Source organism: Homo sapiens, chromosome 11 (assembly GCF_000001405.40).
Source record: "Homo sapiens chromosome 11, GRCh38.p14 Primary Assembly".
Lineage (NCBI taxonomy): Eukaryota > Metazoa > Chordata > Mammalia > Primates > Hominidae > Homo > Homo sapiens.
In genome coordinates, this window is record NC_000011.10 from 16,839,218 (window position 1) to 16,859,274 (window position 20,057).

General features: G+C 45.4%; 1 protein-coding gene and 1 pseudogene across 38 annotated transcripts in view, besides 1 other annotated feature; one reads left to right on the forward strand and one right to left on the reverse strand.

Annotated features, from left to right (window-relative positions):
• PLEKHA7 (pleckstrin homology domain containing A7) overlaps nucleotides 1–20,057 on the reverse strand; it is a 237,118-nt gene that overhangs the window by 61,921 nt on the left and 155,140 nt on the right. For 36 of the 38 annotated variants that reach the window (XR_007062454.1, XM_047426441.1, NM_001329630.2 and 33 more), the window contains 5 exons: nucleotides 16,586–16,697; nucleotides 15,672–15,776; nucleotides 13,066–13,138; nucleotides 11,974–12,074; nucleotides 2,330–2,505 (listed from right to left, as the gene is read on the reverse strand). Coding sequence is in view for 37 of the 38 variants with exons in the window: in XM_047426441.1 (XP_047282397.1) it covers nucleotides 2,330–2,505; nucleotides 11,974–12,074; nucleotides 13,066–13,138; nucleotides 15,672–15,776; nucleotides 16,586–16,697 (567 nt within the window). In the remaining variant the exon portion in view is untranslated. Of the gene's footprint in view, nucleotides 1–2,329; nucleotides 2,506–11,973; nucleotides 12,075–13,065; nucleotides 13,139–15,671; nucleotides 15,777–16,585; nucleotides 16,698–17,475; nucleotides 18,125–20,057 lie in introns of those variants that run through there. The other 2 variants (XM_024448365.2, XM_047426445.1) reach the window with 1 other exon arrangement.
• Nucleotides 3,036–3,273, forward strand: RN7SKP90 (RN7SK pseudogene 90; annotated as a pseudogene).
• Nucleotides 14,288–14,500: a silencer, noted in NCBI's record as "fragment chr11:16875052-16875264 (GRCh37/hg19 assembly coordinates)". NCBI's record gives its function as "represses an EF-1alpha promoter that drives an FKBP-Casp9 reporter gene in an ReSE screen in HepG2 liver carcinoma cells {active_cell/tissue: HepG2}" and the evidence as "EXISTENCE:reporter gene assay evidence [ECO:0000049][PMID:32094911]".

Below are 20,057 nucleotides of genomic sequence, written 5' to 3' on the forward strand. Positions count from 1 at the left end.
GTCATTATTCATGCTTTCAGAAAGCACAAAAGAATCCTATATATTTCTATAAGTCCACATACGTATATAAATGCATAGAAAATAGTTTAAAAGCCAATTAACCTGATTATAGAGATTACCTTGGGAAGGTGATTTGGGATATCTTCGTCTTACAGTTTTTGCATTTTTATATTTAGAATGTTTTCATTTATTATATAGTTAAATATACATTTAATATATATTTAATAATTTGTATATACTTAATTATAAATATATACATATATATACACACAGACATATATACATAGTTGGTCTTCTGTATCCAGGGTTTCATATCCATGGATTCAACCAACCACAAATTAAAAATATTTAGAGAGGGAAAAAAGGATGGTTTTGTCTGTACTGAACACATGCAGACTTATTTTCTTGTCATTATTGCCTAAACAATACAGTATAACAACTATTTACATAGCATTTACATTGTATTAGGTATTATATGTAATCTTGCAATCTAGAAATGATTTAAAGTATGTGCGTAGGTTATATGCAAATACACCATTTTATATAAGGGACTGAGTATTTTGGTATCTGTGGGGCTTCCTGGCACCAGTCCTCCATGGATACCAAGGAATGACTACATACATATACTGTAAACATATATATATATTAAAAGAATGAAAAATAAAGACCAGGAAACAGTGACTGTTGGGGACTAGACTGTGCACTAGACTGTGTTGGGGAGAAAGATGTGTCAAATCTACCCAGTTTCCTTCTCCTGGGGTGAGAGGGGAAATGCCAACCACACTGTGAGGTAAGCCCCGCAGGCTACTGGCAGAGTCTTTCAGATCATTATTATGGAAACAATAGAAAAATGCAGGCTGGATGACAATGCTGGAAGTAGAGCCAAAATTGACGTAGTTACTGATTCAGGGCCCATGGGGAAGCTCCTAGGGCAGTCTTTGGTCCTGTCCTGTTCAACATCTTCATTCATTCATTCATCGAATCTCTCACTCACTCACTCACTCACCAGACATTTGAGAGCTTACTATGTGTCAGATGTTGTGCATTTAGATATAAAGACAGGCCGGGCGTGGTGGCTCATGCCTGTAATCCCGGCACTTTGGGAGACCAAGGTGGGTGGATCACTTGAAGTCAGGAGTTCAAGACCAGCCTGGCCAACATGGTGAAACCCCGTCTCTACTAAATACAAAAAATTAGCTGGGCGTGGTGGCGGGCACCTGTAATCCCAGCTACTCGGGAGGCTAAGGCAGGAGAATCGCTTGAATCCAGGAGGCAGAGGTTGCAGTGAGCCAAGATCACGCCATTGCACTCCAGCCTGGGTGACAAAAGCGAGACTCTGTCTGAAAACAAAACAAAACAAAACCAAGATATAAAGATGATATCTGCTTTAAGCCTAGGATACTGAAAAGTAGACAGAAGGGGGAAACAAAAACAGTGTGAAAAATGCTCAGACTGAAGTGCTATGGGAGCTCCAGAGAGTAGGGCCTGACTATACCCTGGCCTCTTGATGGAGGTCACTATTTATAGCTGTATTTATATTTAATGAGGTCTGTACACTGCATGAAAGAGATCATAAAGCTAGGAAGTACCACGAATTCCGAAAACCACATATATGTGAAGTGGAAAGATTCACAAGCTAAACATACCAGCGCAACCCATTTCCAGTCACTAAAAAGTTCCACCCTTAGGTTACAAGAGAATACACTTGAGTTTTGAGGCCTCATTGAAAGAACACTGTCAAAGAGCAAAGTGTCAGGATAGGAAAGAATGGGCCCAATGTGAGATGAAGGCCAGATAAAGGTATACCCAGACTTTTTCAGGGCCACTCTGATCTCTCTCTCTGAGCCCTCGACTCCACTCATATTCCTCTTGTTTTCTCTCAGGGAATCACCCACAGCCAACAGACTCAGGAATTTCAAGATCTCTGATTATATGCTTGGTTGAACTATTTCAGAGAGGGAGCAACCGGAAGATCACTCCCAGGTCAGCTCCCAGCAACATGGCAGTTAGTCTGTAGCAGATTTTCAGTTTGCAAGACCTTTCTTGCCTGTCCTCTCCCTACCTGGTACCCCAAGGTCTTCCCTTCCACCATACATAAGAGAAGAAAAACTGAGAAGCCCACACATGCCAGTTTCCATGGCTGTGGATCCCAGGGAGTCATTTCACCCTTCCAGGCCTTAGTGTTTTTGTTTAATGAAGAAAGTTTATAAAGAGAGGGCAATGCTTAATACAAGTGAGTAAATGGAATCTCAGGCACCCAAGAGGACCTATCTGGGTCCCAATCCTAGTGTAGGAGGTGCTGTGGCAGGGACCCTCCATCAGAACTAACCTCTTCAGTGACGATCGAGACAGCACCTGTGCAGCCTGGTTCATGGCCCTGACCCAAGCGTTCATGTCCTCCTGGGTGTCGGCACTGAAGTAGTAGGTCCTCATGCCTGACTGCTCGGCCTGAGAGCCCGCTGTGGAGCTGTTATAGATGAGCGCTCGCATCCCCGTGTGCACAGCCTGTAGCATGAAGGCAGAATGCAGGTCAGAGGGAGGTTATCACACATTTCCTTTATAGGAGCAAAAGCAAGGAGGCACTATGGCCCTTCTAGTCTAAAAGCCCAAGCACCACCCAACTTGTTTCCACACCTAGAAAACATCATAGGCTAGATTTCTCTTTCTTAGTGCAGCCAGGCCCAGTGACAGCTGTCTGTTCCCCAAAGTAAAAGCCTGCAGCTGTAACTGTTTCCTATTTATCTTACTCCTGCTTTGGGAGTTGGGAGTGTGCACAAAGTCAAGGCTTATGTGAGAAACAGGCTTTTCAGAAAACCCTCATTTCATAGAGGCAGACTCTTGGGAATCCCTGTTTTGGTTTTGCTGAAGCCTGTGATTCCTGCTTTGGCTATAATCAGACAAGAATTGACTCAAAACTGGCTGCAACAGCAGGTGGCTTGATGTGGATGTTCACTGTGCTTCACTGCTTAGGCATGAAGTGTGATGTGTGCTCCTCAAAGAAGCTGCTGTTCTGTCTCTCCAAAAGAGGCACTACAGGATGTGAGGGCAATCTGGCTGCGACATCTGTCACCCCATTGATCGCCAGGGTTGAGTCGGCTGATCTGGCTGGCTAGGCGGGTGTCCCCTTCCTCCCTCACTGCTCCATGTGCATCCCTCCTGAAGCTGCACACCAGTCGAAGAGGAAGACCATCCCTGAGAGAGGAGGACCGGTCTTCGGTCAAGGGTATACTAGTAGCTGCAGTCCCCTGCTAGAACCTCCAAACAAGCTCTCAAAAGAGGCACTACAGAGGTGGACAGAGTTGACCAACAGTTAACTAAATATTCTTGCAAACCTACTGTGTCCTTCTGCCTCAAGGTGCTTTCACATGTATCCTTGCAAAAAAAAAAAAAAAAAAAATCTCAAAAAAAGGTACTCAGAATGACCACTGAAAAATGACTGGGAAGATTTGCAAATCAGAGACAACACCAGTTTTTCCCCTTGTGCTCTGATAAACCAGAGACCCATCTTTTAAATTTGCAAGGAACAATCTCACCAAATCTACATAAGAAGATGATGTGAAAAGAGGAAGATTTACTGAGTACCTACTATGTGTCTCCTAGGTACTTCCACAACTTTAATCTCATTGTAATCCTAACAGCCTTGAGAGGTGGAGACAGAATCTCTGTTTTACAGATGTAGCAAACAAAGCTCTGAGATGTTAAGTAACTTTCCGAGATTTCCACACCTGGTAACAGATTCTTCACAGCACTTACCATTACCTGATGCTATTTATTTTACACATTTGTTTATTACCTGCTTATCATCTGTCTCCTTCCTCTATAAATGTAAGCTACACGAGAGTGGGAACTTTGCTATTTTGTTCACTACTATATCCCCAGGAAGAGTGCCTAGCACATAGTAGATGCTCAATAAACATTTGTTGAAAGAACGAAGAGTTAGAGCCCAGGTCTGACTCCAAGTCCAGGCTTCTCTGTATATTGCTCCCAGGTTCTATCCAGAAGTGAGGGTGATTACACAGATAACTGGTTCAATACTCTGAATCCAGCATGAAAGGCAGACCCCATGCAAGGACCAGGCAGAGAAAACAAAATGAGAACCAATGAAAAACTAGACAATGACATGCTTCTGGAATCACTAATGGTCATAGATGAAAACCTCTCAAATGAACCTTCAGCATTTACTTCTCCTCCCTGCCCTCTTAAAATCCAGATCCAAAATGCATAGTAAATATGGGCCTGCTTCTGACATTTACATATCTGAGTCCATCTGGCTCAGTGCCAAGGGAGTCTAGGCAAACTTGGCCTGCAGCCAAGGATCCCTATAGTGGCTGAAGCAAACCTGATATCCTTCCTTTGCATGTATCAGCTATCATTCACTATCACAGGAAGGATTCCTTCTATTTTAAGCAAGGTGGAAATGTGCCAATAAGAACAGAATAAGGCCAGGCACAGGGGCTCACACCTGTAATCCCAGCACTTTGGGAAGCCAAGGCGGGTAGATCACCTGAAGTTAGTTCAAGACCAGCCTGGGCAACATGTTGAAACCCCATCTCTACTAAAAATAAAAAAAATAGCTGGGCATGGTGGCACATGCCTGTAATCTCAGCTACTCGGGAGGCTGAGGCATGAAAATTGCTTGGACCCAGGAGGTGGAGGTTGCAATGAGTTGAGATTGAACCATTGCACTCCAGCCTGGGTGACAGTGTGAGACTCTGCCTCAAAAACAAACAAACAAACAAAAAAACAGGATAAGAAGGAACCTGTGCATGTCTTACTGAAAATCAGCAGAAATTCTTGGAAAATATCCCCTGGACCATGATCACACAAGATCTCTGACACACTCTCCCAGCCTTTTGTGCCCAGCCATAGAGGGTTCTGGGACAGGTGCCTATCCCACTAGATACAAGCATAGGGAGCCCTCCAAGGTACAATAAAGACAACAGATCCCTGCTGTACAAAAAATTCATGGAGCCAGCCTTGTCCAGGAAATCAACATGGGACATGCCTCAAACATGCAGACATGGGTTTGCATGTCTATTTGCGAATGAGTCTTAAGAGTTACATCCACCATTACGAAGGAGTTACACATGATTGCAAATATAACCCTGGTCACTAATCAAACCAGAAGGTGCTGTGCCCAGCTGCTCTTGACTCTGAAGAGCAGATTCCAACTGTATTCTGCCTGTGTGAGAGCATATTCAATGGATTAACTGTGAAGGCAAAAAGTACAGGGAGTTTTCTTTTCATCTGGCCAAGTGACCCAAGTCCAAAGTATCCTGAGCCTAGGACCTAGATGATGTGAATCTTCTCACTCCTGCCCTAGTCTCAACTCAGATGGTACTGTTTTCTCTGCTCTTTGCTTTCCAGTTAACATAATCCTATGAAGCAACTTTGCATAACTGAATAGAAAACAAGCTATGCCTAAAGGAAATCAGGATGTGAATGAAGAACTTACCTCAAAGACATGATGCCCCTAGGATATGGTTGGTCTCCTGGCTGTTGGACCTCAGTTCTAGACACAGCACTGGTGAAGGAGCCAGAAGCCTCATGGTTCAAGCCCCCAACATCAGCCTTTAGAATAGAGAAACCTCAGTGGAAAATAGAGGAGCACCCAAAAGGCCAGGGCCCATCAACTGACTGGCTCATTCTGGAACTTGCTCAACAATAATGAATCATTTATTGAGTATTTACTATGTGAAAGGCACCCTACCAAAGTTGGAGGGACAGCCTTAAACAAGGCCATAATAGTTTATAGCCACATAGAAGAGAAATACTATGGACAAGTAACTACAGCTGTATTAAGTGTCATCAAGAAGGTCAGGATGCTGTGAGGAGAACAGGGGAGCCCAGCTTGATCCCTGAGGAATTGACATTGCAGCTGCCTTCTACGTAGTAGGTAGCCATTTAAGTAATAGCAGGGAGGAGCTAGGTAGCACCCCATGAAGGACACGTGCCCACAGTGTGTTCATCTTCAAGGATGAGGCCAGCATGACTGGCACAGAGGAATGGAGGGGAAAACAGCATGAAGAGAGGCTGCCGAAGTTGGCAGGGCCAGACCACCAGGGCCTTGCAGATCATATAGGGTTTTGTCTTAATGAAAGAGCAATGAGAAACTATTAAAGAGTGTTTTGTTTTGTTTTGTTATGTTGTTTTGCTTTGCTTTGTTTTGAGACAAGGTCTTGCTCTGTTGCCAGGCTGGAGTGCAGTGGTACTGTCTTCGCTCACTGCAACCTTCGCCTCCCTGGTTCGAGCAATCCTCCCACCCCAGCCTCCTGAGTAGCCTGGACTACAGGAATGCACCACCATGCCCAACTAATTTTTGTATTTTTTGTAGAGATGGGGTTTCATCATGTTGCCCAGGCTGGTCTCGAACTCCTGGGCTCAAGTGATCCACCCACCTTGGCTTCCCAAAGTGCTGAAATTACAGGCATGAGCCACTGCACCCAGCCTTATTAAAGGGTTTAAACTGGGGAATGATGTGCTCAGATTTTGTTTGGAAAGACCACTCTGGCTGCAGTACAGAGAAGAGGTTCGAGTCAGCAGAAACAGGTGAGGGGGGGATGGGTCAGGAGGCTACTACAGGAGCACAGGTGAGAGAGAGATGGTGGTGGAGGCAGAGAAGGGGAGGAGCAGACAGGGTCTGGAGAGAACTTGCAGGTAATACCTGCAGGCCTTGGCAATGGACTGGATATGGGAGGAGAGAGAACACCAGGTATAAAGGATAAGAGTCTCAAGTTTACAACTTGCAGAGGTAGTGGCGACCATTTATTGAGATTAAGAAAAGAGGCCGGGTGTAGTGGCTCATGCCTGTAATCCCAGCACTTTTGGAGGCCGAGGCGGGTGGGTCACCTGAGCTCAGGAGTTTGAGACAAGCCTGGCCAACATGGTGAAACCCAGTCTCTACTAAAAACACAAAAATTAGCCTGGCATGGTGATGGGCACCTGTAGCCCCAGCTACTCAAGAGGCTGAGGCAGGAGAATCTCTTGAACCTGGGAGGCAGAGGTTGCAGTGAGTGGAGATCACGCGACTACACTCCAGCCTGGGTGACAGAGCAAGACTCCATGGAAAGCAAAAAGGAAAGAAAAAAGGAAAGGAAAGGGAGAAAAGAGAAGAGAAGAGAAAAGAAACGAAACTTCTCACGTCCAACCTTTAGGCTGACTCCAAGCAGCACAGTGAACAGGGTAAGAACTTGGGCTCTTAGAATCAGCCTGAGGTCCAAGGTGGACTCTGCCTCTTGCCCACTGGGTAACCCTGGGTAAATTACTCAACCTCCTCATGCTTGTTTCCTCATATTTAAAATGGAACTATGGGTAAAAGTAGCATTTACCTTATAAGGCCATGTGAGGATGAAATGAGACATACACTGCTTAGAGCACAGCCTGGCATTTGTAAGGCTCAAAAGATGTCAGTTGATGTTACTGAAGGAGCAGTCACTTGAGCAACCTAGGGAGGTTGGCTGAAAGAGCATTCTGGAAACTTTAAGACTCTTCTTCCTCCCTCCCCATCACAAATTTATAGGGAACTAAATACAAAATACAAGTAAGCCTGAACCCACCATATCTTGGGAGGTATAAGCACTGTCACTGGCCACGATTCCAATTACACTTAATGCTCCCTGTGGTCTCTGTCTACAGAATGGGACTAGCAGAACTAGCTGATAAATCAGTTTTCCCGGTGAAAGGTCTGGGTGGGTGAATCAACCATTTACAGTGCAGTGAGACAGAGCTGTGGAAGTAGAGAAGAAGGGTACTTAACCTGTCCCGAGGGCTCAGAGAAGGCTTCCCAGACAAGGTGACTCTGAGCAGAGAACTGAAGGACAAGTAAGAGTTGGGGAAAGGGCATTCCAGGCTGTGGCTGAAGTTTTTTTTTTTCTTTTTTTTTTTTTTTTTTTTTTTTGAGACGGAGTCTTGCTCTGTCGCCCAGGCTGGAGTGCAGTGGCACGATCTCAGCTCACTGCAAGCTCCGTCTCCCCGGTTCATGCCATTCTCCTGCCTCAGCCTCACGAGCAGCTGGGACTACAGGCGCCAGCCACCACACCCAGCAAATTGTATTTTTAGTAGAGATGGGGTTTCACCGTGTTAGCCAGGATGGTCTCGATCTCCTGACCTCGTGATCCGCCCCCCTCTGCCTCCCAAAGTCCTGGGATTACTGGCTTGAGCCACCACGCCCGGCCAACTGTGGCTGAAGTTTAAGTAAAGGCCTATAGGCAAGAAATGTCCTGGGGCCTTAGGCAACTGTATATGACTAGAGGAAAGACAGAAGACAGGAGTGGCTAAAAATGTGGCTAGAGATATAAGCTGGGGCCTCGTGAATCACAATTGGCTTAATCAGATGGGCACAGAGGCTCACGCCTATAATCTCAGCACTTTGGGAGGCCAAGACAGGTGGATCACCTGAGGTCAGGAATTTGAGACCAGCCTGGCCAACATGGTGAAACCCCATCTCTACTAAAAATACAACAACAACAAAAAAAATTAGCTGGGCGCAGTGGCAGGTGCCTGTAATCCCAGCCACTCGGAAGGCTAAGGCAGAAGAACTGCCTGAACCCAGGAGGCGGAGGTTGCAGTGAGCCAAGATCGTGCCATTGTACTCCAGCCCGGGCGACAAGAGCGAAATTCTGTCTCAAAAAAAAAAAAAAAAAAAAAAATGGCTTTATCCTGAAAGCAATGGGGAACCACTGAAGGGCTTATGGTAGGAATACAACCTGAACAAGGGTGCAACTTAGGAGCAACATAGAGGATGAACTGTAGGCTGCAGAGGAGTTCCAAGGCTGAATCAGCAACAGCCAATGCTTACAGAGCACTTACTATATACTAGGTCCTGCTCTACAGTGTGCTCCCCAGGGAAGGGATGGTGGTGGCCAAGACAGAATAGTGGCAGCAGAAGTGGAGAGGAGGAGATGAATTTGATAGATATACAAAGAACAAAATTGAAAGGAGAGAGAAAAAAGGCAGCTCTTTCTTGTTGTCTTCTCATCCTGTAATAATACACATGCTGATGCAAACTTGAGAATATAAGCCCTAAAAAAGCAAGGATTTTGTCCTATTCATTGCTGTTTCCCTAGCGTCTGTTATACTACCCCATAGACAATCAGAGTGTGCAACAGAAGTTTTCAAACAGAACTACATAAGTGAAAAACCATGCCTCTTGGCATGCCTTCAGAATCTAGAGCAGGGACCTTAACATTTTTTGTGGCATGGACATCAACAGTTCGATAAATCCTATGAACCTTTTCCAGAATGTTAAGCATGCAAAATAAGGGAAATCTATTATATTGAAATATAGTTCTTAAAATATTTTTTAAATGTGTGGTCTAGCGATGCAGGTGTTTGTTTACTAACGTACTGCATAATGGATCTGGTGGCAGATGTAATAATTATTGTGATTTTAAAATGGTGATGAGCATAAATGATATTTCAAGATACCTGCAACAACTGTAATGTGTTATGAAGATATCTATGGTTTCTACTGGTGACCAAGTCACAGGTACTGCTGATACACATTGTGACCTGCTTTCTTAACTGAAAGAGATGTTATATTTCAGTTAAAGGTTAAAGAGTAGGCCAAGTACGGTGGATACTCTGAACTGTCTCCGACAAGGTACCCTAGCACCAGTCTGAGAACTTCAGCTCTATATACAGAGAAGGACCAACATCAAAGACAGGTGTCAAGGCCAATCACAAAACACTGTGTATTCCTTGGTATGCCCAAGAATATAGACCCTGAGCTGCCCCCAGAGCCTACCCTCTGGCCCCTAAAAGAAGGATGCTGCAACTCAAATGAAAAGATAACTCTTTCAGACTCACGGAACCATTGCCCTTTCTGGAGAACCATCTAAACACCACCAGATCTGTCTGTAGTAGCTTTTCTCTGCTCTCGGATCCTGAGGACCTCAAAGACCTCTCCCAAACACACGATGCCTTCTGTCTCTCAGACAAAAGATTTAGGGAACTCTCTTAGTAAAGTCTTTCCAAGAAAAATGTTGAGAAAAGAAAAGAAATCTAAGACAGATTAAAGATGTTTGCCTAGAATCTACTTTCACACCTCCAATGAAGTGTTAAGATAAAAATTATATATATAGTTATGATATGTTACTTTAAAGACATGCCAAATGTTGTTCCCAAAACATCATATGCAACATCACTATCCCAATTGTTTGCCCAACTGGGCAGTGCTCAACTCTAGAAAAGAGGGTTTCCTAAGGAAGATTTTTCAGGCTGTAAAGGATGAATCTGAAAGGCACTGAACAAAATGTTTTCAGAGTCAGGAATAAGTTTCTAAAATGATACAATTAATGTCAATTCAAACCACCTTCTACCTCCTGCGATGTCTGTGCAGCAAGTGACCAAGATAAGACATGGAAGAAAAGCAAGGAAGAAGAGAAAATAATACAAAGTGGGAGCCCTATAAGAAAACTGAAAGAGAACAGAATTCAGGGCCAAGTTCTGCCTCTGTCATCTTCCAGCTTTGTGACTTTGGGCAAGTTTCTTAAGCTCTCATATCCTTCCCTCACCATGAGCATTAAATGAGGTCACATGTATCAAAGTACTTCCCATGTCATGTTTTAAAGATATAAGGCAACAGTATTCCACGCAACATGACACAGAGCACTATCCCAGTATCACCAATCCATAGCAATTCTGGAGTGACAGTAGCGTCACTCGAGGGAAACACAGGAACAACTCAAACCTGTTGATGAGTAAAGCCACAGCATCAGCTCAGTTCTGTGCCTCCTTAGGAAGGAAAGGTAGAAGGAAGATGAGACTGACTTTCCAACCACCAGCACCACTATGGCTCCAGATCAAGGTGTTGATAGAGACTCTCACTTTGCAAGCCCCTCACAGATGAAGGACCAGCTGCTCACACCATGGACACCACAGACCAACACTTCCCTTTAACCCTTCCAGAGAATGGCAGGCGTCTTACCTTGAGCTTTCCCGTGGTCCTCTATCTATGGCTGGAAAGCGTGACTTCTGTTCAATCTCTGTTTTATGACCTACTGTCTAGTGTTCATCTTGTGCCTCCAACATGGAAACGGCCAAGCAACAAGTGTAGTGGGGACAGGAGCCCCTACTCCAGCTTGACGTGTACGACATTGCCTCATATCTTAAGCAGCCAAGAGAGGGCCATGCCCTGTGGTGAGTGGCACCAAGGGCTGCTTGCTTCAGTGCTCTCTAGGACTTCCACTCCAACTGCCAGTAAAGTGGATCTTCAATCCACCCCATCCTTACCTTCCCTGGGGAACCCAAGATCTTAACACCTGCAGTGAAGGAAATCCATGGAGGCCACCAATGGAGAAGACCTCAGGACTCCCCATGCTTGAGCCTAAACACACCTTCCAAGAGCCTCCACACTGGACCTCACAGGTGCTACAGGGCAAAACTACCATTAATTATCATGGCCTCACTCAGCCCAAATGGTACAGACACAGACCAAGTAGGAAAGGGGTTTTACTGGTAAAGGGATCTGCCTGGAAATCTTCTATGATCCAGAAGATAAACCAAATTTCATTCTAATTGCTTTTCAACAAGATAAACAAAGTGGACAAAGCTGACAGCCTCTTTAACACGCAGGCCCCTAACCTTCAATGTGAGTTTTCATAATACAATGGATATAAACCCACTATGAGGGGTCACCAGTTGCATGAAATGGCTGGATGCTAGTTAGGCTGGCTGAGTACGGTGATAAGACAGCTCAAGAAGGGCTTCGACAGGTAACCACAAGACTGGCAGTGACAGGAAGGAGGGGTCTGAATACTTGAACATGGCTGGGCGACTCCAAAGCTTAGAGTCAAATGACAGTACCGGTCATGTGATATTATTCTTGTTTAAATAACTTACAACTTTGTTAACCGGAATCTGAAACTCTCTAGCTTCTTCCCCCTCCCGACAAAAGCAACTGCTTTTATGAAGACATTTTGAGAACACAGTTTCTTAGACAGAATGGCTGCATTAGAGGTGCAGGGGCAGTACCTTAAAGGAATATTTGCGGCTTATGCGATCCTCAGGGGCCACAGGAGAGATCACGTAGCTGGGCAAGGGGATGCTCCCGAGGACCGCTTCTTCTCGGCTGTCTTTGAATGGAAAAATGCATCAGAACAACCTTCTGGGCAGTTTCCCTGGGCTCATCTGTCCCACTGCTTCCAGAACTTCAGCCAAGTTGTTTCCTCCCCTTGTAATGTCCATCCTCCCACAACCCACACACAGGCAAAGCTCTACCCATTCTTTTTATTTATTTATTTTTTTTTTGAGACGGAGTTTCGCTCTTGTTGCCCAAGCTGGAGTCAAGAGCATGATCTCGGCTCACTGCAACCTCTGCCTCCCAGATTCAAGCGATTCTCCTGCCTTAGCCTCCTGAGTAGCTGGGATTACAGGCATGCGCCACCATGCCTGGCTAATTTTTGTATTTTTAGTGGAGTCAGGGTTTCACCATGTTAGCTAGGCTGGTCTCGAATGCCTGACCTCAGGTGATCCACCTGCCTCGGCCTCCCAAAGTGTTGGGATTACAGGTGTGAGCCACAGTGCCCAGCCAGCTCTACCCATTCTTAAAAGCCTATCTCTTCTCTCCTTCTAAGAAGCCTCCTCAGATTCTCCAATGATGGAATTCACTTCTCAGGCCCCCTGAACTGCTTTGAAAGCACCAGTAGCAGTCTAGCCTTATCTTAAAAGTAAGCTCTTTCTCCACATTTTGAGACTCCCTCTTAACAACACATAGTCCCTAACTTTATGTTCTGGGGCTCCACAGAAGCTCAGATGGCCAATTCAATTCACCAGTTGCTCATCCAACATTCAATAAATCCAGATGACAGGTTACAAAACACAATCAATGATCCACACTTCTCACCTCTCCAGAGTACCTCAAAGGTGGACCTATGTCCCAAATGGGACAGAAACGGAAATGACTCTGAATCCTGAGACCCTTAGTAGCAGGCAAACTGGATTCTATTTATTTTAACCCAACAGATTGAACTTCCTGTGTTAGGACTGGTAAACCTGAAGTCACCAACCATCCACATATGTAAAACTGAACACTTCGGCAGGGTAATAGGCTACTTGTTAGCTCACCTTTATAGTAAAATAAGCAGTAATCAGCAAGCACAAACCACCTCCTTTTCCACAGCCTCATCCCAGAACTGTCCTGCAAAGCAAAGAAAACTAGTCAGGGTAATATCTGAGCATACTGTTGTCCCTTTCCAAGCATGCACAACCTGATTCCAGAACCAAATATTTGCCCATATTCACTCTTTGTTTTAATAAATTACCATTTTACTGAACAGCCATTCTTTGAATAGGACATTAGAACTTGGATTAAATGATGGTTTATCCTAAGAAAGCAGGGTTTTTATTTTTGTCTCCTAGAAGCAAATTAATATATAATATTATAAGTCACTTTCTTCTAGAAAGTAAATTAAGAAAGGAATCAGTTCTTAACAAAAAGTTTTTGTTTGTTTGTTTCTTATTTAGGTGGCTATGCTATAAAATACCTTCATTTATGCTGACTGGAAAACTGAATTTACACTGAACTATTGAAAAGAGTTTAAGTTACCTAATGAATTAAGTGAGGCAAAGTTTTCATTAGACTATGCTCAGTTCTGTGCCATATAGGATGTATTCTGCTGTTGTGTTTTCCTTCCATTCAATATAAAAGAATTTGGATTCTCTTTGCTATCAAATTGTCTCATAAGAAAAATCTGTCTTTACTCATCTGAAATGTAAATGTTTGTATTTATCAATAATGTTTTAAATTACTGTGAATATTTTTCAAAAACATGGCAAAGGCAGGAAAACAGAATGTTTTGGGGTGAGTTTTCTCTCAAACCTAGGAATGCCCCAGAGCATCTTTTAGTTTTAGAGATGGCTGTTCACGTCTGTACTGCCAGTGTTTTGAGAGGCTGAGGCAGGAAGATCGCCTGTGACCAGGAATTCAAGACCAGCCTGGGCAACATAGTGATGCCCCAGCTGTACAAAAAAAAATTTTTTTTTCATTTAAAAAATAGAGATGGCTGTTAAATTGTCTTCCTTCTGCAGAAGTTTTTGACAAGCTTGAAAAACATCTGACAATTTCTAAACTGAAATACAGCATAAGGATTGTTCCTCCTCCACTTACTAAAATGCTAAAAGCAAATGTAACTTGATGATTTCAACTATTTATCTGTTTCATCTTCTGCAAATCAACAAGATGATTTATAAGGTCTTGGCACATGATATTTGCTTTGTTTGGAGACCTCTTATCTATGCTTCCATGCCTGGTTCAAATATCACTTCCTCCGGGAAGCCCTTCTGGACACCCCCCAGTATAGCCACTCTCTGTTGTGTGTCCACAGCACACAGATCCCTGTTATGGTTACAGCACAGCCAATGGGCCTGGCCTAGGTGCTGGGAATTATTTACAAATACTTCCCTCTCTCTCCATATGTCAAAGGGGCATCCTTTGTTTAATGGGGACAGGGATGCAAACGGAAGAAGTCAGAGGGTTAAATGACTCAAGTGAGAAAAAGACAAGGGCAAATGTAAGAAAAGAGAGGGACGACAGGGCTGTGAGGGGCAAGTGGGCACAAGAGACGGTGGTACCAGGAGTGTCCAACAGAAGAGGCCGGGAGCTGTTGCAGCTGCCATGGGGCCAGAGCTGCAGAAGAAGATTTTAAGGGGACTTTTGGGATTTCTCCTGTGTGCTGTTCAATGTAATGCCCTCCTCTGTCTTCCCACAAAGCTTCACCAAAACTTACATTGCTGCTCTGATATTTTTAGATGCTATGCTAGGTGAGAGACAGGGCTGGGTGACAATGTGACAAGTGAGAGATATGCTATCTGCTTCTCCTGGTAGCTGATGAGTTCCTCGAGGGCAGGAACCACGTTACTTTCTCTTGATACTTGCTCTTAGCAACTTAGGACATGGCAGGCACTTTGCAGAATGGATGAATGAATGAATGACTGGCAAGGAGAGAAGGAGAGCAAAAGAGACAGGGTCTCTAGCTCTGGGAACTCACAACCCAGCCATGAACAGAGAACCCCAGGCAGGTCAACTGGCAGTGGGGATTCCAATGAAGAATGGCCTCAGCCGACAGAGCTGACAGGGCTTTCTGACTGAATGCATGTCGGGGAAGGAGAATCTGGTGATAGTGCTGAGGTTTCTAACCTGAGTGCCTGGGAGAATGGTGGTACCATTACTAAGATCCGGAAAAAGCAGTCTTGGGGAAATGGCAGGCCAAGGTGGTGAGGAGATAATGAGCTGAGTTTGGCTGATTTGGAATTTGAGACGTTAGGTGGATATGCATGCTAGACAAGGGGGAGAGGAAAAGATGAAAATTTTCAGCCAAATAATAACAAAGACTCTTTGACACCAGGAAGGCAAGTGCTGGTAGAGAACTGGTAGGAAGGCTGGATTCAAGCTGACCCACCCACACTGCGGCCTGGGCCCCAGGACAGCCAATAGCACCAGGGGCCAAAGTGGTCAAGTGGGTTTTGGGAGAGAAGCTGTAACCATTGAGCAGACAGTCCACTCATAAGAACAAACGGCAAATAATGCAGTGCAGCAGGTAGAATCCAGCTGCCTCAGACAAACTCAGGAACAGAAAGCTTATGTGCCCATCCCTAGCTTCCTGGTGCCTGGGAAAGGAGAGAACTCAGCCAGAGCCATTTCCTCCAGGATTCTCACTCCTCGGCTTCCTCACCTGCTTGTGCAGCCAGCCCCTCACCACCACGGGAACATTGGGGTTCCTCCGAATGGCCTGGTCTCTCTTCCCAAAGCTGTGGACTTTACTGCTGGACTTTATGATCTATGAAAAAGCAGACTGAACTTTAGCAACAGGGAATTTAAGGTGACACAAAAAAGCACTTGTATGTTAGGAGGACCGTCGGCTCTCTCTGCCTCACTCTAAATGGCAGCACCCTTTGATCAAATGAACAGCCAGAAGACAGGGAACGGGCGTGCACATGGCCACAGCATTCTAATTAAAAGGCAAGCCCAAGACCTGGCAAACCTCCCAGCTGGGTCACTGAAAAAAAAAATTAAAAGGAATTTTTCAATCAACTTTCAGCAGCAGCTGTTGGCTGTAATATGTTCCATGGCTTTCTGGAGCAAAGCTAATTTTTGGTCACAGCTTTTTGCCAATTTCCAGATATTTACCCCTCCTATCTGGGTTCAACCCTCAGCACTCTCCTCCTCTCCTCAATGCTGGTTCTTTACCCTGATCCTTAGTGTTTCTACACCTGGAGCACAGAAACTTCTGGGTCCTTCCCAAGGGCACCCTTTCTCAGGGCCTCATGTCACCAAATCTCTCCAGGCTTGCTTTAACACACAGCTACATGTAAATAGAAACGTGGCCCTCCCAACCATGCGAGGAAAGTGAAGAACATGCTCAAGGACCTATAGACACCAGTGCTGGGTCTGTCAGCAATCACCTGTTCTGCTGGACAAGGGACATATCCCTCTTGGCCTCAGTTTCCTGATCTGTCATTTGGGGAGAACACTTCTTATGGGTCTCTCTCACAAAACTATAGTGAAGATCAAATGGACTTCTGGTTACAAAGGGGCTTGGCAAAATATAAAAGAAGGGAAGGAAGGAACAAGTGGCCAGGAGCTCACCTTGGGTCCAGGCTTGGCCTCCAGGGTGGAGGCGGTCCCAGCCGTGGATGTTTCACTGACCATGCTGGACGGTCTTTGGTTTCTGTCTTGCTTCGACATATGTGGATTCGGCCTGTGAGGAGACAGGGGATTCCAGTGAGTAAAAGCCGAGCTATAGAGTAGGAAGTGCAGTAAGATCAGTTCCAGGTAGGAATCGGTTGTTGGGCCTTAGAACAACCCAACCCTGATTGTTTGGAGGCTGCCTGACTCCAGACTGCAGCCAGAAGGCCGCAATGTCCAGCCTGCCCATGTGTTTCAAGGAATCAAGATGACAGATAGGCACATCTCCACAGCCTGACACCCCAACAAAGGAGGACAGACTGTCATCCCTGCTGTTGTCTGGAAGTCCCCACACTCACTCTCTTAATCAGGTGTCTGTGACAACTGCCCCATCTGATGGGCATGCACAGATGTGCCACTCTTCTCAGCACGCAAGAGCAATCCATGCCCTCACACACACCTCCATTTCCCTGGCTCCCAAAAGAAGCTGTTTATAATTAGTAACAAGAAATCACTTGCGCACACAACCACACCCCCAGCTACACACAGAGAATCCCTTACATAAATGCCAGTGGGGCTTGTCTCCCAAAATAGACTACTCAACAAAGAGTCCTATTCTAGGAACACTCCATTTGCCCCAAAATAGAGCTATCAGAGATATTAACCCCTTGTGCTTGCCTGGTGAGCAGGAAGAAATGAAATAAGCCTTGGGCCCCCAGTAAGAATATCTGGGCTTCCCCATCAGCATCCCAGAAACATGGAACTTCCCACCAAGGAGCTGCCCTGGGAGGGCCAACTCTCTGGGAGCATCTCAGTGCGACACTCAAGAGCCACTGAAGAGTCCTTCTCACCTGCTTCCACAGATCCCCAGCATTTGCCAGTCTTTCAAGGCAGCGGTGACAAATCCCTCCACACAAATCCAGTACCTATCCCTGGACAGCTGGATGCCTGATGCCAAGACCCTGCAAAGTCCAGGATCAGCAAGCCTTCCTCAAAGTGGAAGTCTCCACGCTCTGTCCAATGCTCCAATAGGCAACAGAATCCAGGTCATTGGAGACCAAGCAGATCACAGAAAACTGAGGCTCTTTGCCTGAAGAGTGGAGAAAATCTGCTTTGGAGGCCTGGGCAAGGACCCTGAGGAGATGCAGCTAGAGAACCCAGGCAGGATGCAGCTGACGAAGCAACACTCATAAAGTCCTTCACACAGACACTTTTAGAGTGATACAATGAGGGAACATCCTAGTTTCCACCATGGAAATATACTGTTTTCTTCGAAGACCCTGCTGCTCAAAAGATAAGTGATCCTTTCTGTGCCCGGAGACAGAGCCCAATATCCTACACCACAAGGGAAGTTCTCTGCAGAAGTAGCCGTGACTACTGCACTTTCCAAGCAATGCCAGCAGCAGGACCACTGTAGTAGGCACCAGCTTCCCAAAGGGCTGGGCCCTGTCGGATGCTTGGCAGCAGGAGATGCAAGTCCTACCAGGCAGAAAGAGCACTGGCTCCTTATCAGCTCAGACACTCACTCCAGATTCCACACCCCCAGCCTCCAACCCAGCCAGACTTTTGTTGCTGCTCCCCACTGGGAGGGAGAATGTCACCACATTTGCTGTTGGCAGAGGCTGTGTGCAGCAAGATAACCGCTGATCAGGAGCAGGAAGAGGCTCCAAGAGGCGGCCTTGTCCATCCCCTTTCTCCAGACAGAACTATGTCCAAAACATCCTGGAACCTGGTCTTGTCTAACTCTTCAGACTTCTGGAGGTTGAGACAAGGAAAAAGAGCTCTCAGGTTGCTTCAGTTATGGCAGCTGTATCTCTAAGCTAAAATTCAGGACACAAGGTCCAACGACAAAAAAGATTTGTTTGAATTTGTTTGTTTGTTTGTTTGTTTGTTTTGAGATGGAGTTTCGCTCTGTCGCCCGGGCTGGAGCGCAGTGGCGCGATCTCAGTTCACTGCAACTTCCGCCTCCTGGGTTCAAGTGATTCTCCTGCCTCAGCCTCCCAAGTAGTTAGTATTACAGGCGCTTGCCACCAAGCCCAGCTATTTTTTGTGTTTTTAGCAGAGACAGGGTTTCACCATGTTGGCCAGGCTTGTCTCAAACTCCTAACCTCAGGTGATCCGCCCACCTCGGCCTCCCAAAGAGCTGGGATTACAGGTGTGAGCCACAGCACCTGGCCTGTTTGGGATTTTATCAAATGTAATTTATTCCCACTTAAGACATTTTAGGCTTATTACAGAATATTTGAGAAATACAAGAAAAAACTGAGAGAAAAACATCACCCATAGTCCAGCTACTGAAAGGAAAACCATTTGTAACACTTGGTATGGTTACTTCCATTCTTTTTATATGCCTGGGTTTTCTGCAGGGGAAGGAGGTGGGGAGAAAAAGGGTGTTTTGTTTACATATGATCAAAATTATATATGTGACTTCACATCTTCATTTTAAAACGTTATTGTAATGTAAACACTTTCTCCGTTAGTTTAAGCCAGTTCAACATCATTTCAAATAACTGCATCACGTTCCATCAACTTTAGATGTGCCATTCCACCTCTGTAGGACGAAGAAAAGACCGTCTGGATTTGTGACTGGCCAGGAAATCCAGGACAAATAGCTACTTTTGCCATTTTTGCACCTTGCAATCTTTAACAAATTTTTTTTTTTTTTTTTGAGACGGAGTTTCGCTCTTGTTGCCCAGGCTGGAGTGCAATGGTGCAATCTCGGCTCACTGCAACCTCCGCCTCCCAGGTTCAAGCCATGCTCCTGCCTCAGCCTACCGAGTAGCTGGGATTACAGGCACATGCCACCACACCTGGCTAATTTTGTACTTTTAGTAGAGAGGGAGTTTCACAATGTTGGTCAGGCTGGTCTCGAACTCCTGACCTCAAGTGATCCACCTGCCTCGGCCTCCCAAAGTGCTGGGATTACAAGCATGAGCCACCGCGCCCAACCTAAAAAAAGATTTTTAAATCATCTCACCAGTGCAGTATAAAGCACCTTACAATCTTGACATTTAACTTGACACCCCCCAAACCCACATATTCTAACTCCACGTCTCCTCCCCATACTAGCTTCTGGGATGCTAGCTGGCTGGACATCAGTGAGGGGCAGTGAGGGGCAAGGAGTGCGGAAAGAATACAAAAACACACATGAAGACAGCTTGACTCCTCATGGTCTACACCGCTCAAACACACCCATAGAAAGCCTATTAGGAAATGTGACTAAAGTTCAAACTATATATGCCCCAGGGAAGGGACTGTGTTGTCTACAAACAGGGAGGATGTCTTCACCAAGGCCCCCCATGAGCAGGGACAGCTCCCAACTCAAGGAATAGACTCAATTCATACTTGGCAGTCCCTGACCTGGCTCTTTGAAAGGACAAGGCACACACAGCTACCCACTTGTCCAAGTAACAAGATCAGCCTTCAGAGGATG